Genomic DNA, 14,849 nt, shown 5'->3' with positions numbered 1-14,849 from the left:
TTCTAGTAACCTCTCCCTTCCTTGATCTCTTTGGGCCTAAGTGTGGTGAGGGTAAGAAAAGCAACAGCTCCAGGATCCTGCCATACAGATGATGGGGGACCCTTCCTTATTATTACACATGCCCACACCCCACCCAAAAGGTTTACCACCTAAGCATGAAATCCTAAGCACTGTATTTTCATTTCATCTGCTTTTTGAAATTTATACAAATGGAATCATATGATATGAATTCCTTCATGTCTGGCTTTTTCAACTTAACACTAGATTCATGAGATTCATCCATGTTGTTCTATCTGCCCTGTGTATCATCAATTGTGATTGTGACTTGCACTCCACTCTATGCCTACACCACAAGTGACTTATTCATGCTATAGTTGAACATTCAGGTTGTTCCTAATTTGGAGTTGTTGTAAATAATGTTACCGTGAACATTCTTGTCCATGTCTCCTGGTACGCAGCATGTGTTTTTACTGGTTATAGACCTAGGAGTGGACTCTGAGTCATGGAGTGTTGGTATCTTCATTTTAATACTTAAACTGTTTTCCATATTTAAACTCCCACCAGCAATGTTCCTTGTTACTCGATACCCTCATCACTCAACATCCTTGCCAGCACTTTGCACTGTCCGTCTTTTTCATCGTAGGCATTCTGGCGAATGGATAATACCCTGCTGTGGTTTTAATTTTCATTTTCCCAATTATTAATAAAAAGTTGAGCAGATTTACATGTTGCTGACCATTTGGATCTACTCATTCTTAAGTGCTTGTTCAAGTCTTTTGGCCATGGAATGGCAGAGATCCCAGACACCACAATTACATGTACGAGCTGCCAGGATCCAGCTATAAAACCTTTCCTTGAGAATATCAACTCATTAGCAAGAAACAGGGAGATAAAAAGATGGTCTATTCCCTCAGGAGATTGTTTGCTATAAGTCAAATTACCATTTATGATGATTCTCTATTAAGTAGGGCCAACTTCAACAAAAATTACTAAAACGAAGTATAATATTATAATGCAAAATACAGAAAGAACATACAATCTGAGAGTCATGAGTAAATATTTCTGGGTCACACCATGTAAACTACATACTTTGCAGTCAGCATGAAGGTTAAGTTAGCTCAAGCATGTGAGGCTCTCAGAATCATGCCTGACAGTCACCTCTGATTACCTTTCATAATTTAGTTAAGAATAATGGCAGATATAATAAAAAATCCTAAGTAACTTGTCTTAAACCAACAACCCTCAACCTTATAGATACATGTTTACTTTTACTATACAAATGGCTGTGTACTAAAATCCTCAACCACACACACTATTATATAGGTTTATGTTTAAATAACCTGATAACACATCTCTTGTTCCTTTACCTTCCACAAGTCCTTTTTTTTTTTTTTTTTTTTTTTTTTTTTTGAGAGGGAGTTCTGCTCTGTTGCCCAGGCTGGAGTTCAGCCTCAGCTCACTGCATTCTTGGCTCACTGCAACCTCCATCTCCCGGGTTCAAGCGATTCTCCTGCCTCAGCCTCCTGAGTAGCTGGGATTATAGGCACGCACCACCATGCCCAGCTAATTTTTGTATTTTTAGTAGAGACAGGGTTTTGCCATGTTGGCCAGGCTAGTCTCGAACTCCTGACCTCAGGTGATCCACCCGCCTCAGCCTCCCAAAGTGCTGGGATTACAGGCATGAGCCACCGTGCCCAGCCCTCCTCTTTCTTCTGAAATGCACTTCCTCATATTACTAGGTGTTAACTATACAGTGGTTCCCCCTTATTCTCAGAGGATACATTCCAAGACCCCCAGTGGATGCCTGAAACTGCAGATAGTACCAAACCCTATACTTACTATTTTTTTCCTGTACATACATACCTATGATAAAGTTTAACTTATACATTAGGCTCAGTACCTTTGTGTTTTGGGACCATTATTAATTAAATAAGGGTTACTGGAACACAAGCACTGTGACACTGTGACAGTAAACCTGATCACCAAGGTGGCTATGAAAGTGACTAATGAGTGGGAATGTCTACAGTGTGGAGACACTGGGCAAAGGGAGGACTCATGTCCTGGGGAGGAAGGAGCGGGACAGTGAGAGATTTCATCCTGCTGCTCAGAATGGCATGCAACAGAAAACTTATGAATTGTTTATTTCTGGAATTTTTCCATTTAATATTTTCAGACCATATTTGACTGAAGGTAACTGAAGGTAACTGAAGCCTCAGACAGCAAAATTGCGGATAAGGGGACTACTGTATACCCATCTCCATTTGCACCTCTGGTAACTGTGAGATCAGAATGTGCAGCAGAAGGCTGTGTGCCTCACAATAACCATGGAGTTCTGCTCAATCTGCTGCCTTGGCGACTCTGGATCTCTCTTCCAATAGTAAAATGTCACACTGCAAACTCTGGGCCTGGGGTCCCATGGGACTTCAGTGGTTCCAGGACTGATTTCACTGCCATCACTTATATATGGTTAGATATGGATTCAACTTGTTTGCTGTGAGGTTAAGTGTCTGAATGTCTACATGTCTATACATCTTTAAAACTACACACAAAAATTGCTAAAGACAAGAAATTTGGGAATATTAAATTTACAATACAATTTAGGAAACCAAACAGAAAGGAGGTATACTAACTGGGTTAGAAGATTATAGCTGTAAATTGTTGGGACTTAAGAAAAACCACACATTTAGACAAATAGTTTCTCAATCTTCTTTATGCAGAAACTCTTACTATTCAACATATCTCCCCTACACCCACACCCAAAGAGCAGTCAGTTTAGATACAAGTTTGAGAAACAGAAAGGAGGGGACAAAGGTTGGAGGATGTCAAGGCCAAAGGATAGGCCTCTCCTCTAGTTCAGAGGACTCTTTGTCTGCCTCACACCCTCTTCTCCCTGGGGACTGGCTGTGTGCTGACTGTCCCCCTGCTGGGATACATGAACAGTAACAACAGTGGACCCCTGGTCCCCGCACTGATGGGAGGCAACAAGGATAAGCTGCCCTCACACTTGCTATGCTAACAGAACAGGAAATATTATTTTACCTGTGGCATAGACAAATGTCTAACATAGAAGCATATTTTATAGTGGGAATTTGCTATACAGATCTATTAACTACATTCTTTCTCATTAAAAACTGGCTTAACTGAATTATATTCACTCAAAAACTGGTTTATAGGGCTAAAATCAAAATTCACTTATGGCTTTTAATATCAAAACCAAAACCCAAAACTGCAGCTAAAACACACTATTTGATAAAGCAAAGGGAATCTTGCAGTCTCTGGGAATAAGTAAAATCCCTCTTTTGCAAGTGAAACATTTCTCCTTCACTCATATTCCAAAGTAAGTGAAGAAATTAAAGCTGCATGAATGGTCCCTGAATAAGTTCCTCTGTTTGGGGAAAAAAAAAAATTCATTAGGTTCAAGTATTAAAGAAACTTGTGTCTACATTATACAAGTTGAATCCTTGACCCATTGTTTACTTGCTGTCAAATGACTGGGCAGTTTCTTTTCACTATAATTCCCTGCCAACACAAAACCATCGCGAAGATCCAGGAGCACAGCGAACGGGGGTCAATGCTATAGGGCTCATGGGTTGCAGGGGAGGACGACAGACCTCAGGCCCTTGCCTAAGTCTCCCCATCTCATAAGCTGGTCAAAGTGTCCCTGCCTGCTGACTCAAGGCCCAGACATTTATCCATTCCTCCCCCAACCTCTCCATTTCTTCACCTACTTGTTCAGTCAGAAATTCAACCAATATTAAATGCCTCTTCTCTACACACATATGCAACACATGCCAACTCTCAAGGAATGCAATTTAGTGGAGGAGAAAAAGCAAGTAAATATGCAGTAACAATGCAAACATGTGCCACTACAGGGATAGGTACCAAGTGCTAAGGAAACCTGCAGGGATGAACAACCAGCCCAGCTTCGGAGGGCAGAGAAACCAGCCCAGCTTCGGATGGCAGAGAAAGCTTCCTGAAAAAGGTAGCTACAAGAACAAAGAGCAGCAGGCCATGCCATCAGGTGGGAGACAGTGGTGAGGAATGCCACAGTGGGTGGAACAGCATGTGAGAGGCAGGAAGAGCAAATGTAGCCAGTCCAGAGGGCTGGAATGGAGAGCAAGATGAGGAAAAAGTGAGAGCTCACCCCAACCTGAAGCCAGGCCTATGGAGAGCCCTCAGGTGCTCCTGGATGCCTCCTCTAAGAGTCTGGCAATTCAGAAACAAGAATGCCCCTGTGCACCGTGAAGAATTCAAGTCTTGATGAAAGGACTCTTCTAGACACATGCCATCAATGTATCTGTTGATTTTAGCAGCAATGGGGAAGCTAATCAATACTTAATTTTAGAAAAGTCCTAAGCTATGTGAATAAGGCAAAGGACAGATTAGGTCTGCATGCAGGCAGATTTCTGTCCAGCTGAAACATCAAACTCCTGTGTGATGAATGAAATATAACATCACATATAAAAAACTGATGAATGTGATTCAGCCATAAGAAGTCCTATCTAGTGGACAGATCAATATAATTACCTCATAAGAAGTTATTACAGCGGGAGAAACTGGACCTGGCTTTACCTTGAGTTCTTAAGCAAGTAACTGGCCTTCAATTTCTTCATCCACACAAGAAATAGTTGCTATGGTTGTCTCCAACACTTCTAAAACCCATCATTCTGGCAGGTTGTAACAATCAAAAGTATTTTATCACCAAAGGCAAGGATTTAAGTAACTTTTCTAAGCCACAGATTTACTATGGTTTTGTCTGAGAAAAAAAAAAAAAAGGATGGACCCCAAACTGTCTAAAATTCAAAAAAACAAATACATTTAAGTTCATGAACCCTTTAAAAAGTTGACAAACCATGCATAACCAAACATAAAGATAATTAAAATTTTAGGATAAGCAAATGAGAGATAATTTTTTTTAAGAAATGAGAAAGTAAAACAAAATTAACCTAACAAGGCAGGCAGCGATTCGTTGCTCACTTCCCTTTCTGCTGGTTTCATTTCCCTTCTTAGGTGAAAACACTCTTAATATGTAAATCAGTCCACTAAAGACTTCAGAGTCCTTTCTGCTAAGATTTGCAGAAATTTTTATGCAAAAGAAATTATTTCTAGACTTCCACGCACTAGAAAAGCAGACTTACAAAATACAGCAAACTAAAGTGGATAAATGTATGTGGCAAAGCAGAAGCAATTAATCAAGGATCCTACTTTTAAGCATTTAGAAATGTTTAAATAGTAAAAAGTGGAAATGTGGATATTCTATGATTTTTAATAACTTGGTAGTAAAAAGTGAGACTCCATTTAGGAGTACCTACTAAGTGCCAGGTACTATTAAGCACTTGGGATCTTTCTGGTTTAGGGCCCCTACAATCCTACTGGATATAGTATTATCTCTATTTCAACTGTACAGAAATGAAGTAGGAACAAAGGGTTAGTCAGAGTGGGTAGGTAACTAGACAAAGTCACATAGCTTATAAAGCAAAGAAGCTAGACTTTAAACCCCCTTTTACTCAATATCAAATCTTCTCTTTCCATAGATGATGCAGACTTCAAGCATCAAAGTACACAAACTGAAGAAACTTTATCCTTTGTATATAATTATCTTAAATATATGCCATCATTTCAAGGGGAGCTTATGCTAAGTGTGACTTCATAAACAAATCATTTGTGAAAGAGAAAAACCACATCCAGGGTAAAGTCATAAGGTGAAAAAGCCTATTTCAGAGAGCACTTCCTGAAAGAGACAAAGCAGCAATTAAAGTCAGCCCAGCACCAACTCCGACGCCAAGCGTTACACTGGAAACTACTTTTTAAAGCAACAAAAGAGTCTAAAACAAAATACAACATTTCTTAAATACACTGTTTCCAGAAAGAGCTATTTTAACAGAAGCAACTCAAAGATATCCCTTCGACAGAAGTGGAAGTGCTGAAAAATGCTCATCTCTCACACAGACTTTTGATGGACAGGAGGTAAGCAGCATTTAATTAACTTCATGATTATTGTCAAAAGTAATGCTTTATGTACTGCATTTCAAAAATCATTTCATTTTAATAATACAGGCTGGGCGCAATGGCCCACGCCTGTAACTCCAACACTTTGGGAGGCCAAGGCAGGAGGATCAGTTGTGCCCAGGAGCACCATAGTGAGACCCCGTCTCTATTAAAAAAATATATTTAATTAAAAAAATAAACATAACAAACTATGTTGGTGAAAGACCTTGAAATAGGCTATATAATCATCTTTCCACATTAATATGATTTTACATTTATTTTCAATATTGCTTTACATTAATACTAAATGTAATTTTTTTCAACTTAAGGAAAGAAAATGTTTATGGTAAATCATATGTATATTTAGGAATGTTCATCACATGTTTTCAATTACATTGTTTCATGAAATAACTTAATGGTTTTTAAGAAAAGAAAAGCTACAGATAATCATGGTATCTATAGCTTTTAAAAAGCTGACTTTAAAGTCAATCACTTTTCAATATTTATCCAAAAATTTCTGTGTTTGCAGAGCACAATCAATACTATAATGCCTTTAAAACACATGCATCACTCATTTTTTTTCAAACGTCAGCAAATGAATATAAGTATTGGTGACAAGCTACATAAAAACAGCTTGAGCATAACGTGGGAAAAAAGACTCAAGATGGTTTGTAAGTACAGGACTTATGTCACAAAATTGAAGGATGAGGATAGGTGAAGGGAGTCCTGATGCAATACTAAAAAAAGAAAAACAAATACAAAATTTCATTTATATTATAATTGCTACTATTTAATAAGAATGCATTCCAGTTAAAAATAAGATTTAAGCCTCCAAGATTACTCTCCTTTGAATGACACTAGAGATATAATTTTTCTCTGTAGCACTTTCCTCATTTGATAGAAATTAATATTCTAGTCACACCAATATTTGGAAAATTTAATATGTTTTTAAATATATAGAATTATGCTCCTAAATCATATTTAACCTAAATATTTGAGAAGGAAAGAAGGAGAAGAAGGGAAGAAAGGGAAGGGAAGGGAAGGGAAAGGAAGGAAGGCAGACAGGCACGTTTCTTGTGTTTAACCACAGCAATTGCTCAAGTTAATTCTTAATTATCAATAGCCCGTGATGCCACTGACCACAGACAGCAAATCTCCCCCATAGTTTTCCTTAAAGAGAAATTCTGGGCTGATTTCAAGACAGCCCACTCTGCAAAGTGACATTTTTGAAGGAAACTTTTCATCCACCTCCATATTACAAGGGGATGCCACAGATTCCATCTCATTGCAGCAAAGTCTATTTTTGAAGTCTGTTGTTGGTGTTGCATCATGGGGGAATGAAGTTTCACACTGAGGAGTCAATGATATTTGCAACCCCAAATAACCTCCTTTCCATTTAAAATGGACGGTTTTTTTTTTTTTGGTGATGGAAATTTATAAGTTTCTACATACACATCAAGTTACTGAATGACTTCTTATTAATATCTACTTGTCTTAGATACTCCTTTTTTGGATTTACTTTGAAAATTGTTAAAATTTAAATAATATTGAAGCTTCTGAATCTAGATGGAATGAGGATATGAAAGTTACTAACGGCACTAGCTTTTTTCAAGGTGCTGCTTTCTGTGAACCACTGAAGTAGAGCAGCTGAAATCACAAAACCTGGAAGACTTGGCTTTACGTACTCCCAATTGTGCACTAGAAAACAGCTCATCTATTGCTCTAACAGTCTAGTTCTTGATCTGCTGACCATGACACAAAACATTGCTGTTTCTCAACCTATGATAATTTAAAGAGAACATAAGGTAATAAATATTATGAAGTGTTTCCACTTTAAAAAAAACAAAAAGTTTAATAGCCAGCTACACAAGTCTTCATTTTCAAACTAGAGAATTACAAACTAGAGTTTTTTAGCAAAGTAGAGTTGCTGTGAATCATCTCATCAAAAGTTCCTTCATTTATTCATCAATTCAGTAAATATTTATTTATTGAGTACCTATTACATGCTCAATAGACAGTGGGGCTATAGCTGTAACAAAGGAAAAGTTCCCATTCTCTCTCAAATGAGAATTACTGTGAATGTTCAGTAGTTAACCAGTTGAATCGTTCCTTGATTAAATGCTCTCGAACTTAAAATTCACTGGCAGTCAAGCTGAGTGGGAGAATGTTAAGCATTTATTTTTTAACCAACGATTTTATTCTTATTTTTCTTAACTATTTTTACAGTTTCTAAGTATCATGCCTACCAACAAGCTGTAAAATGATCACCCTGAACAATCAAGATCAACCTGTCCCTTTTAACAGCTCACATCCAGATGAATACAAAATTGCAGCCCTTGTCTTCTATAGCTGTATCTTCATAATTGGATTATTTGTTAACATCACTGCATTATGGGTTTTCAGTTGTACCACCAAGAAGAGAACCACGGTAACCATCTATATGATGAATGTGGCATTAGTGGACTTGATATTTATAATGACTTTACCCTTTCGAATGTTTTATTATGCAAAAGATGAATGGCCATTTGGAGAGTACTTCTGCCAGATTCTTGGAGCTCTCACAGTGTTTTACCCAAGCATTGCTTTATGGCTTCTTGCCTTTATTAGTGCTGACAGATACATGGCCATTGTACAGCCGAAGTACGCCAAAGAACTTAAAAACACGTGCAAAGCCGTGCTGGCGTGTGTGGGAGTCTGGATAATGACCCTGACCACGACCACCCCTCTGCTACTGCTCTATAAAGACCCAGATAAAGACTCCACTCCCGCCACCTGCCTCAAGATTTCTGACATCATCTATCTAAAAGCTGTGAACGTGCTGAACCTCACTCGACTGACATTTTTTTTCTTGATTCCTTTGTTCATCATGATTGGGTGCTACTTGGTCATTATTCATAATCTCCTTCACGGCAGGACGTCTAAGCTGAAACCCAAAGTCAAGGAGAAGTCCATAAGGATCATCATCACGCTGCTGGTGCAGGTGCTCGTCTGCTTTATGCCCTTCCACATCTGTTTCGCTTTCCTGATGCTGGGAACGGGGGAGAACAGTTACAATCCCTGGGGAGCCTTTACCACCTTCCTCATGAACCTCAGCACGTGTCTGGATGTGATTCTCTACTACATCGTTTCAAAACAATTTCAGGCTCGAGTCATTAGTGTCATGCTATACCGTAATTACCTTCGAAGCATGCGCAGAAAAAGTTTCCGATCTGGTAGTCTACGGTCACTAAGCAATATAAACAGTGAAATGTTATGAATAATAAGGTTCTTTCATTTCAATCCCATCAAAATTCACTTCACTAACTACTCTGGCGTCAATGGATATTCTGTATAATACTATCAAGTCCCTTTTCTCTTGAAAAAATAAATTCATTATCTTCATTTTAAAAACTTATATAAAACATTTTTGTGAATTATTCAGAGAAAAGCATCTGATTTTTCTTTCCTAGTCAAGCCTTGTTCACACAGATAATTAACTTTTTGCATTTCTATGTGCAAGCGACACATGTGTGTTAATCAAGTCAGTAGGGGGGAAATCGAGCTACCATACAAAATAATTTGATTAAATTATTTTCTATCTAGATGCAGCTCCCTTAGGTCTAATTTGCACTAGGAATGGAATTATAAATCCAATACTTTATGTCCCAAACACTGACTTCCAGAATTCCTATATAAGAAATTATGTTGAACTCATTACTGTTACTTACTACAAGGCAAAATTAATAGCAACAAGAACCCAAGGGGCCTGTTACAGCCATCCCCATCAGCCCTTCCCTACTCTGAATTCATTCTTTTAAAAACAGAGAATAGTCATTCAACAAACACTGAGAGCCTACTATGCACCAAACCCTATTTAGGACTAATGATGAAAATCTAACCTGAGATGCTATTTCTATCCAATAATCCAAGTTCATTTCTATCATTTGAGGTTTCTACTATATGGTGAAATGCCATTCTCCAATACAAACAGTTTGCTCTTCTTATGTGGTTGAAGATACCATTTTTACAAAAGAAGTTAATTGATTTTTTTTCCCAGGCCATATGTCACAGTATAAATAGTACTAGTAGGAACCTTGGATTTCTTAGCCTTGCCATTTAATTTCTCCTAATAAAGTAACAAACCAAGTAACTTATCCATCTAAAAGAAAAAAACTGAACTATAATCTGTAAAGCCCCTATTATCCTGAATACTTATGGAAGTAAAATAAATGATTCAACTATAACTTCCTCTCTGCTAAATTACCTTTATCACTCTTAACATGATCATATCCTACTGGGGCTTAGAACCAAATACATGCATTGGTTAGAAATTTATTTCTGGCTGGGCGTGGTGGCTCACGCCTGTAATCCCAGCACTTTGGGAGGCTGAGGTGGACGGATCACTTGAGGTCAGGAGTTCGAGACCAGCCTGGCCAATATGGTGAAACCTCATCTCTACTAAAAATACAAAAATTAGCCAGGCATGATGGCAGGTTCCTGTAATCCCAGCTACTCGGGAAGCTGAGGCAGGAGAATAGCTTGAACCCAGGAGGCGGAGGCTGCAGTGAGCCGAGATTGCGCCATTGCACTCCAGCCTGGGTGACAAAGCGAGACTCCGTCTCAAAAAAAAAAGAAATTAATTTCTGGAAATAACATAGGTAAATTCATATTCCTTAAAAAAAAAGATAAACACAAAAAGTCTAATAATAAAATGGCATTTTTGCACTAGAAGGTCCCTTAGACAATCTTCTTAGTACAATTCTTCTGTTCGAAATATAAAAAACTGAGGTCTGAAGAGGTTATGTGACTTGCTCAGCTCAAGAACCACACCTAGAAACCAAGGTCAGTTCTTTCATGTCAAACACCAATTTTTCAATAATAAAAAGCAAACATGCTTAAAGAATGTAAACATTCTCAGAGCTACATAAGGTGGTACTGAGATGCAGTTTCTCAATAAAGAGAAAAACACAGTTTTTAGTTTCAATAGTCAAATGAGTAAAATATATATATTTTTATATTTTATATACATAAAGTACCTTTATAGATATTATATCTTTATATATTATTTGTATATCTTACATATATTTAACATATAATTATTTCTAAAACAAGAAAAACAACTCTTGTATTGGATATGTAGGTTTATTATACACATATACATAGTCAGAGCCTACTCTCAACCATACAGATGAATCTACTCTTAAATTTATTAGATGGAAAAGTTCTCTGCCATAGCTTGTCTTGATAAGAAGAGTTTAGTCTCAGAGCAAAAAGCACAACAAAAGATTCTATTGATACAAAATCAAGAAAGTGAAAATGTATGCTGTGATTCTCACAGTAAAACTGTAAATAATTTAAATTATAATTTAATTGTAGATCACTTAAAAGTTATTTTTTAAATAATTTACTTAGCATTATAACCAAATACATTTAAACATAATATGTAAAAATTCAAAATTTCACTGTATTCTGGAAAACGATGTAACATCCACATATAAATACTAACAAAAAATAATAGGTATATAAGGCCAGATGTGTGGCAGGAATGAGTTACTAGAAATGCCTAACACATATGGCTTTTAATAATGGAGTTATTTCTACTTTCAAAACCTAATGGTTACATTTTCTGAGTTTAAATCATAGTCATGAGCATCTATCATGTCAGCTACAATTTCTAAGCAAAGCACTAGAAAAAGAAATGAACAGGTCTGTGGTTCAAAGGCCTTCCCTTACAGTCTTACTGGGGCTACACTGTAATCAAGGCTTGCTTGCTCTTCAACATTACTAAATGTAGGGCAAAGAGTACATAAAGTAAAACTTGGTTCCCCCTCAAACAGCCAGTGGGTAGCCTAGAAGGCACAGACCATGACAACGTAATATAATAAATACTAACAGAGATAATTAACACATGTGTTGTAATACACATATAAGGACAATTAATCCTGCCAAAGGGCAAGAGGAAGCAGAAAGCAAGCCAAGTAGGCATGAGAATGCAAATGCGTAGCAAGCGAAGAAAGCTGGATGACCAGTTGGGAAGTGGTTTGAGAGACTAGCTGGTGGTCAGATGAGGAGGACTCTGAAAGGAAAGAAGAGTTGGGCATGGTAGCACGTGCCTATAATCCCAGCTACTCAGGAGGCTGAGGTGGGAGGACTGGGCTTGAGCTTAGGAGTTCAAGGCCAGCCTGGATAACATGGCAAGACCTTGTCTCTTAAGAAAAGCAATACATGGAAGGGGTATACGCTTGCTCCTAGAAGCTTGGCGTAAGAGACCTTCTTTAATTCTCGGTGCTACCCTTTGAAGCACAGAATACCCACAGTTGACATGTGAGGGTCATCTAGAAACTGAGCTCAGGAAATGGAGCTTGAGAGAAGCAACTTGCTCAAGATTTCACATAACTAGTAAGAGGCAGAGCTGGAATCTCAAATCTGGTCTGATGGCAAAGACCATGCTATTTCCACTATTCCAGACTGCCTAGATAGCATCTTGGAGGAATCTGACTTTTATTCTGATGGAAATGAGAATTTGAGGGTTTTTAAAAGAACTAGTGTGGTTAAGCCTGCATTTTAGAAAGATAACTTCTGACAGCATTGTATGGAATGCTTTCAAATTCACAGGGAAACTAGTTAAGAGAATTACTGTAAAAAAGTAGACAAGAAAAGATTTAAGAGTTTAGACTGGGATAATAATGACAGTAGAAGTAGAGAAGAAGGGATGAATATTCATTTAGGACTTTGAATTACTAAGACTCAGTGCCAGAAGTCCTAGCCAGAGCAACTAGGCAAGAGAAAGAAAGAAAAGGTATTCAAATAGGAAAGCCCAAACTATCTCTCTTTACTGACAATATGATTCTATACCTAGAAAACCCTAAAGACTCTGCCAAAAGGCTCCAGGAATCGAGAAACAACTTCACTAGAGTTTCGGGATGCCAAATCAATGTAGAAAGATCAGTAGTAGCATTTCTATACACCAATAACTTAGTTCAAGCTGAGAGTCAAACCAAGAACACAACACACACAAAAAGATACCTAGGAATACATCTAACCACGAAGGTAAAAGATCTCTACAAGAACTACAAAACACTGCTGAAAAAAATCAAAGATGGCCAGGCTTGGTGGCTCATGCCTATAATCCCAGCCAGCACTTTGGGAGGCCGAGGCAGGCTGATCACGAGGTCAGGAGATCGAGACCATCCTGGCTAATGCAGTGAAACCCCGTCTCTACTAAAAAATACAAAAGAAAGTAGCCAGGCATGGTGGTGGGCGCCTGTAATCCCAGCTACTCGGGAGGCTGAGGCAGGAGAATTGCTTGAACCTGGGAGGCGGAGGCTGCAGTGAGCCAAGATCACACCACTTCACTCCAGCCTGGGTGACAGAGTGAGACTCCGTCTCAAAAAAAAAGAAAAAAGAAAAAAATCAAAGATGATACAAACAAATGGAAAAAGCATTCCATTCTCATGGTCTGAAACAATCAATATCATTAAAATGGCCATACTGACCAAAGCAATCTACAGATTTAAGGCTATTCCTAGCAAACCACAATGTCATTTTTCACAGAATTAGAAAAAATTATTCTAAAATTCATATAGAACCAAAAAAAGAGCCCCAAATAGCCAAAGCAATCCTAAGGGAAAAAAAAGAAAAGGAAAAAACAAAGCCAGAGGCATCACATTACCTGACTTCAGATTATAAGGCTACAGTAAGCAAAACAGCATGGTACTGGTACAAAAACAGACATACAGACCAGTGGAACAGAATAGAGAACCCAGAAATAAAGCCTCATAACTACAGCCATCTGATATTCAACAAAGTTCACAAAACTAAACAGTGGTGAAAGGATTCCTTATTCAATAAATGGTGCTAGGATAGCTGGCTAGTCATATGCAGAAAATGAAACTGTACCCCTACCTTGCACCACATACAAAAATTAATTCAAGATGGATTAAAGATATAAATGTAAGACTTCAAACTATAAGAATCCTAGAAGAAAACCTAGGAAACACCATTCTGGACATCGGCCTTGGGGAAGAATTTGTGACTAAGTCCTCAAAAGCAATTGCAATGAAAACAAAAATTGACAAATGGGACCCATTTAAACTAAAGAGCTTCTGCACAGCAAAATAAACTATCAACAGAGTAAACAAACAACCTATAAAATGGGAGAAAATACTCACAAACTGCATCTGACAAAGGTCTAATGTCCAGAATCTGTAAGGAACTTGATTCAACAAGCACAAAACAACCCCATTAAAAAGTGGGCAAAAGACATGAACAGATACTTTTCAAAAGAAGACACGCAAGCGGCCAACACACAAGAAAAAATGCTCAAAGGTAATCATCAAGAAATGCAAATCAAAACCACAATGAGATACCATCTCACACCAGTCAGAATGGCTACTAAAAAGCCAAAAAACAACAGATGCTGGTGAGATCTGGGAAGAAAAGGGAAACTTATACACTGTTGTATATAAGTGAGAAAAGGGAACACTTATACACTGTTGGTGGGAATGTAAATTAGTTCAGCCACTATAGAAAGCAGTTTGGAGATTTCTCAAAGAACTTAAAACAGGACTACCATTCCACTCAGCAATCCCACTACTGAGTACGTAGCCAAAAGAAAATAAATCATTCTACCAAAAAGACACACGCACTCACATGTTCATTCCAGAACTATTCACAATAGCAAAGACATGGAATCAACCTAAGTGCCCATCAGCAATGGACTGGATAAAGAAAATATGGTACATACACACCATGGAATATTATGCAGCCATAAAAAAGAATGAAATCATGTCCTTTGCAGGAACATGGATGCAGCTGGAGGCCATTATCCTAAATAAATTAATGCAGGAACAGAAAATCAAATGCCACATGAACTCACTTAA

General features: G+C 37.9%; 2 protein-coding genes and 1 long non-coding RNA gene across 9 annotated transcripts in view, besides 1 other annotated feature; 2 read left to right on the top strand and 1 right to left on the bottom strand.

Moving 5' to 3' along the window:
- The window catches only part of UBAC2 (UBA domain containing 2), a 185,651-nt gene that overhangs the window by 122,384 nt on the left and 48,418 nt on the right, over positions 1-14,849 (bottom strand). The window lies entirely within an intron of this gene.
- Positions 1,600-1,822: a silencer, noted in NCBI's record as "fragment chr13:99914553-99914775 (GRCh37/hg19 assembly coordinates)". NCBI's record gives its function as "represses an EF-1alpha promoter that drives an FKBP-Casp9 reporter gene in an ReSE screen in phorbol 12-myristate 13-acetate-treated (for megakaryocytic differentiation) K562 erythroleukemia cells {active_cell/tissue: K562(+PMA)}" and the evidence as "EXISTENCE:reporter gene assay evidence [ECO:0000049][PMID:32094911]".
- LOC124903198 (uncharacterized) lies at positions 2,417-5,682 on the top strand. Its single transcript, XR_007063846.1, has 3 exons — positions 2,417-2,498; positions 3,873-3,982; positions 5,535-5,682. It is a non-coding gene; the product is annotated as an uncharacterized LOC124903198 (long non-coding RNA).
- Positions 5,742-9,382, top strand: GPR18 (G protein-coupled receptor 18). Of its 2 annotated transcripts, NM_005292.4 has the most exons (3): positions 5,742-5,967; positions 7,602-7,793; positions 8,215-9,382. In NM_005292.4, exon 3 carries the CDS (start codon positions 8,249-8,251, stop codon positions 9,242-9,244), a length of 996 nt encoding a protein of 331 aa, NP_005283.1. In that variant the 5' UTR covers positions 5,742-5,967; positions 7,602-7,793; positions 8,215-8,248; the 3' UTR covers positions 9,245-9,382. The 2 variants fall into 2 exon arrangements, with proteins under 2 accessions (NP_005283.1, NP_001091670.1); NM_001098200.2 differs by lacking the exon at positions 7,602-7,793.

The sequence above is a fragment of the Homo sapiens genome, chromosome 13 (assembly GCF_000001405.40).
Source record: "Homo sapiens chromosome 13, GRCh38.p14 Primary Assembly".
NCBI lineage: Eukaryota > Metazoa > Chordata > Mammalia > Primates > Hominidae > Homo > Homo sapiens.
The sequence above is the reverse complement of the archived record's forward strand: the minus strand, read 5'-3'. Positions and strand labels throughout refer to the sequence as shown.